The sequence below is a fragment of the Homo sapiens genome, chromosome X (assembly GCF_000001405.40).
Source record: "Homo sapiens chromosome X, GRCh38.p14 Primary Assembly".
Taxonomy (NCBI): Eukaryota; Metazoa; Chordata; class Mammalia; order Primates; family Hominidae; genus Homo; species Homo sapiens.
In genome coordinates, this window is record NC_000023.11 from 37,486,815 (window position 1) to 37,493,051 (window position 6,237).

The 6,237-nt window shown below is 49.0% G+C and overlaps 1 pseudogene; it reads left to right on the plus strand.

Moving 5' to 3' along the window:
• On the plus strand, nt 5,143-5,906 carry FTH1P19 (ferritin heavy chain 1 pseudogene 19; annotated as a pseudogene).

The following is a 6,237-nucleotide window of genomic DNA, read 5'->3' on the forward strand; positions in this document are numbered from 1 at the left end:
AATGCAAAAATGATTAAAATTTAATTTCCAAGGTTAACTTTATTCATAACACTGCTTTTGGCAATGAAGATCTCATGAGAACTCCCTCACGGTCATGAGAACAGCACTGGAGAAACTGCCCCCATGAGCCAATCACTCCCACCAGGTCCCTCCCTCAGCATGTGAGGATTACAGTTTGAGATGAGAAATTTGGGTGGGGACACAGAGCCAAACCATATCACTGGGCCCCTGGCCCCTCCAAATCTCATGTGCTTTTCACATTCCAAAACCAATCATGCCTTCCTAACGGTCCACCAAAGTCTTAACTCTTTCCAGCATTTATTCAAAAGTCCAAGCCTGAAGTCTCATCTGAGACAAGGCAAGTCCCTTTCACCTATGAGCCTGTAAAATCAAAAGGAAGCTAGTTACTTTCAAGATACAATGGAGGTACAGGCATTGGGTAAATTTTCCCATCCAAGTGGAAAAAAATTGGCCAAAACAAAGAAGCCGGAGGCCCCATGCAAGTCTAAAACCTGCCCAGGTAGTCAATAAATATTAAAGCTCCAAATTCTCCTTTGACACCATGTCTCACATCCAGAGCATGCTGATGCAAGGAGTGGGCTTCCATGGCCTTGGACAGCTCCACCACTATCGCTCTGCAGGGCACAGCTCCGCAGCTGTTTACATAGGCTGGCGTTGAGTGCCTGCAGCTTTTCTAGGTGCACAGTACAAGCTGGTGATGGATCTACCCTTATGAGGTCTGGACAATGGTGGCCCTCTTCTCACAGCTCCACTAGGCAGTGCCCCAGTGGGGACTCTGTGCACAGGCTCCAAACACACATTTCCCCTCTGTATTGCCTCAGTAGAGTTCCTCACGAGGGATTCACCCCTGCAGCAGACTTCTGCCTGGACATGCAGTCATTTCCATATATCCTGGGAAGTTTAGGCAGAGGCTCCCAAAGCTCAACTCTTGTCTTCTGTGCTCCTGCAGGCCCAACACCATGTGGAAGCCACCAAGGCTTGGGGCTTGCACCATCTGAAGCAACTGCCTGAGCTGTACCTTGACCCCTTTTAGCCGCAGCTGGAGCTGGATCAGCTGGAATGAGGGGCACCATGCCCTGAGGCTCCACAGAGTAGCATGGCCCTAGGCCCAGCTCATGAAACCATTTTTCTCTCTTAGGCCTCTGGGCCTGTGAAGGGAGGGGCTGTTGTGAAGATCTCTGACATGCACTGGAGACATTTTCCCCATTGTCTTGGCTATTAACATGTGGCTCCTTGCTATGTTTGCAAATTTCTGCAGCCAGCTTGAATTTCTCCTCAGAAAATGGGTTTTTCTATTCTATCTCAGCCTGGACTTCATTATCCATATCACTGTCAGCATTTTGATCAAGGCCATTCAACAAGTCTCTAGGTGGTTCCAAACTTTCCGACATCTTCTTGTCTTCTTCTAAGCAGAATCCTAAAGTGTGGGTTAGCAGATCAGAGGAGTGATAAAAAGCCTAAACTCCTCATCCCATCCACGAAGAGAGGCTTGGCAGCCTCCTGAGGAAAAGCTTTGTTCTATCTCATACTATAGCCTCACATTTTTAAAAACAATTTACTTAAACTCATTTCCCAGTAGAAATTGAACAAGGAGTATTTGTTCTGTGCAGTTGCATAGGAGAAACTTGACCCTGCCAGAGGAAAGGGCTGTCCCAGGAACACTTGGCAAGAGAGGGTGGTGGTTTGTGCTGCTACGGAATCACAGCAGCTATTTTCTGCTTCTCTCTACATACCTTTGTGCTCACTAAAGCAGAGAGAGGCCATGAGATATTATACGACCCAGCGACCTCATTACACTGCATTTCATTGAAAACCTGACTGTGGTCCCACAGTTCTAGTTGAGCATCAGCCCTGACATTGAATTCTGTTTCTGTATCATCTTGGGCAAGGGCTTTATATTTAGGATCACAGATTCCTCATGGGTACAATAACCATTCCTACCTCACAAAATTGTGAGGATTCCCAAGAATGTTGAAAATCATCTAGTCTGGTAAGGACTCATTAAATCATCTACTTCTCTGGTGACAGAGCTGAGACTGGCTTCCTGGTCGCCTTCTTTTTTTTTTTTTTTTTGTGAGACTTGTTGCCCAGGCCGGAGTGCAATGGTCCAATCTCGGCTCACTGTAACTCCCGCCTCCCAGGTTCAAGTGATTCTCCTGCCTCAACCTCCCGAGTAGCTGGAATTACAGGTGCATGCCACCATACCCGGCTACTTTTTTGTGTTTTTAGTAGAGATGGAGTTTCACCATGTTGGCCAGGCTGGTCTCAAACTCCTGACCTCAGGTGATCTACCCACCTCGGCCTCCCAAAGTGCTGGGATTACAGTGTGAGCCAACCTGCCCAGCCCCTGGCCATCTTTATTAACCAGTGCTCACTGTGGCCATGTTCCTTAACCCTGGGCCTCACACAGAGCATTGAGGCAGCATGCTGCCCAAAGGCATTTCACATTTGTAGTTGGGAGTTGACGCTACTTCCATTCTCACAGTTACTTCCAACAATCTGTTCCTTTGCTTTCCTAGCCCACTTTTGTTGCTTCTTCCTCACTATACTCCTTTCCAAAGGAGAAGAATGTGCTAGGTGCCGGCATGGTGTAGTGTGGGAAACAAAGACAGACGTGGGAACCTCCTAACTCTGCAGACCTCATGGCTCAGTAGCAAAAACTGAATGGTACTATCTGTGGTACCACCTGGTTAGCCTCCCACCACCAGTCCTGGAACTAGCATTCCCCTTTTCTGGGGAACTGCTCCACACAAACACAGATTCCAGGTATGTGATTCCAGGAGAGCTTTATGTTGCTACATGTCCCACCTTCCTCACCACAGCTGACTGGCTCTGGGGTCAGATAGTCGTGATCTCTGCCCCTGTGCTTTGTGTTCCTGGCTTAAGGTTAGGTACCCAAGGACCAGCCTGATTTTATTCCAGGACATCGAGGCAGAAGGAAAGCATCTTTCCTTGATCTTCAAGAGTCCATGAGGGATTTTTCTTTTTTCTTTTCCTTTTGGAGACCGAGTCTTTCACTCCTGTCGCCCAGGCTGGAATGCAGTGGTGGGATCATGGCTCACTGCAGCCTCGACTTCCTGGGTTTAGGCAATTCTCCCACCTCAGTTTCCTGAGTAGCTGGGACTACAGGTGTGTGCCACCATGCCTTTTTTTTAAAAATATTTTTTTGTAGAGGGGTGTTTCGCCATGTTGCCCAGGCTGGACTTGAACTCCTGGGTTCCAGCAATCTGCCTGCCTTGGCCTCCCAAAGTGCTGAGATTACAGTGGTAAGCTGCCATACCTGGCCAATGAGGGATTTTAAATTTCACTCTCCAGAAGGAAAAAAAGGAGAAGGATTGAGATATGTGTGTGTGTGTGTGTGTGTGTGTGTGTGTGTGTGTGTGTGTGTGTGTGTGTATGTGTGTGTATTTGGTGCAGTAAGCAAAAGGAAGAAAGTGTGATAACCCAGAGCTATCTAAACCTCTCCTTTTTCTCATCTGCCTTCCCACTGAGAGGGTGTGTTCTGGTATGCACTCCAGTGCCATAAGCCTACAGGACCCTGTGGGTACAGCCTGTGGTTATCCAGTACCTTCTTTGACTAGCTAATTTGATTAGTTAGAAGAGGCTATCTCCTGTAACAAATGTTTCTAATCTCTTTAGCTTTTAAAGTAAATTTTTATTTTTTGTTTTTATCAAGGTCCAGTGCAAGTTGGTGGTGACAATGATGAGGGGACATTCTCCATAAGTTTTCCAAAGTTCCAGGCTCCTTCTCCAAATTGGATATGTCATATTGTAGGGTCTGTTCCTCTTCTTCACTTGAGACATGGATTGCACAGGGTGTGTCCTATAAACTAGGCCTTATTTGGCCATACATCAGTTATTTTCATATTCCAATAGCCAGAAATCAGTACATGTCCCCATCAAATCACAAGAGTAGCTTGAAAAATATGGTTACTTGTGGACCAAGATGAAAACAAATAAGCTTTGGTGAAGTTATTCTGCCACAGCGAGTTTCTCTAATTGGAAGATTTGAAAAGTACTATCAAGTTCATTTTGCTACAGACCTAAGTTTGTTCTTCAGTGAGCTGAGTCTTGTGTCTACTAATTGGTTTCAAATTCAGCAGGGAAGACACGGGGATTAGTTATTGAGTACCTAAAACTGTGAACATACAGGACTTTTCGAAGTAAATTTTAAAAAAGGAGTCTTTACTCTGGTGTTTAAGCTTTGATCCTGAAAACATATCTGAAATCACATTCCCTATCATGTGGAGTCATCCCTCCTGCAGACAGAATTAAGCTTCAGGGTGCAGCAGACATGGGTGAGCATTTAAAGGGAAGTTGACATCTACCTAGAAGACAGATCCACTAAAGTTTTCCAGTGCCAGAGAAATGCCATGCTTTGGGCATTTAGAATAGTTCCTACTCTGCCTGGGAGCTCTATACCTTTATCTCCAAAGGAGATGAGCACTCCCTAATTGACACCCTCCACCCTCCTGTTCATGGGAGAATCCTACTGGTCATCCAGACTCACAACTGTGCATTAGGTCCATGCTCATCACCGAGGCTAACCCAGTCCTTGATTCCAATCATGAATGGACAAACGTTTTCCAGATATTTAAGGAAAGTGAGGAAGATGCACAAATAGAACTAATTCTGGAGGAGGGAAAAAAGGATATAATACAGGAAACAGAAGAAAACGTTATCAGAACATACTCTCAGAGTTTAAGAAAGACAAGAAGTTTATGAAATGAGAACAAGCTGTCATAGAGGGGAACAATCAGGGGACAGGCGAAAGTCCTTGGACACTAGAAAAGTTACTACAGAATTGACGTAGCACAGAGGTCTGATAGTGCCCAATTCCCCGGGCTGCCCATAGAACTCAGCGTGCTCCCCCACCCCCACCTGTCAGAAGTCCCTCGCAGCTCCGCACCAGCCCACACCCGCCCGACCTTGTGCGCTCCTCCCCGCATAAAGGTCTCCACCGCTCACTTCCGGTCCCTTCGCAGAGCCTGTGACCACACTACCACCGGGCCCGGGGGACGACGCCCTCCACCAGCCGCCGCTGTCGTCCACCATGGTGGTGCTCCGAGGACCCCGCCGCTGCCGCCACTGCCCACGCCGATGCCACTACCCGCTCCGGGCCCCTGGCAAACCCACTGCTTTTCCCCTCCTCCCAGCGCCCGCGCTGCCCGCCCTGGGCCCGCTGTCGCCGGTGCGACGGTACCACCATCCCAGCTGTGAGGCTGCCATCAACACCCACATCAGCCTGGAGCTCCACGCATCCTATGTGTACCTGTCCATGGCCTTCTACTTCGACCAGGACGACGCGGCCCTGGAGCACTTTGACCGCTACTTCCTGCGCCAGTCGCAGGAGAAAAGGGAGCACGCCCAGGAGCTGATGAGCCTGCAGAACCTGCGCGGTGGCCGCATCTGCCTTCATGACATCAGGAAGCCAGAGGGCCAAGGCTGGGAGAGCGGGCTCAAGGCCATGGAGTGCACCTTCCACCTGGAGAAGAACATCAACCAGAGCCTCCTGGAGCTGCACCAGCTGGCCAGGGAGAACGGCGACCCCCAGCTCTGCGACTTCCTGGAGAACGACTTCCTGAACCAGCAGGCCAAGACCATCAAAGAGCTGGGTGGCTACCTGAGCAACCTGCACAAGATGGGGGCCCCGGAAGCAGGCCTGGCAGAGTACCTCTTTAACAAGCTCACCCTGGGCCGCAGCCAGAAACACACCAGAGCCCAGACAGGCCCCACAGCCACGGGGTGCCTTCCCCTGCTCGCGCCACCAGGCGGGACGTCCATGTTCCCTTTTCAGAACATTCTCTTCATTTTTCTCCTCTCAGTTTTACCGTTGTTGGCAATAAAGTTATCTGTTCTCAAAGCAATAAAGGTGTCCAGCTGATGCGTATCTGCAGCACTCTCACCTTTTAGGAATCAGGGCACATCCCCATGCAGGTTTAAAGTAGGTATTCAGCAGTCTTTCCATTCAGCCCTGCCCCATCTGCATGCAGCTCAGGATCTGCGGGGGTGGAAGGGAAAGGTATTTTATGGGCCCCTGGAAAATACATTAGTCTTCCCCTTATAAACTTTGAGGGCATGTGGGATGGGGTGGGGTGAGGTGGGGTAGGGTGGGGTGAGATGTGTGGGGTGGGTGGGGTCGGGTGGGGCGTGCTGTCTTGGGCCATGGTATCTGTGGGTGTGTATGCATGGTATGGTATAAAACATGGTATGGAA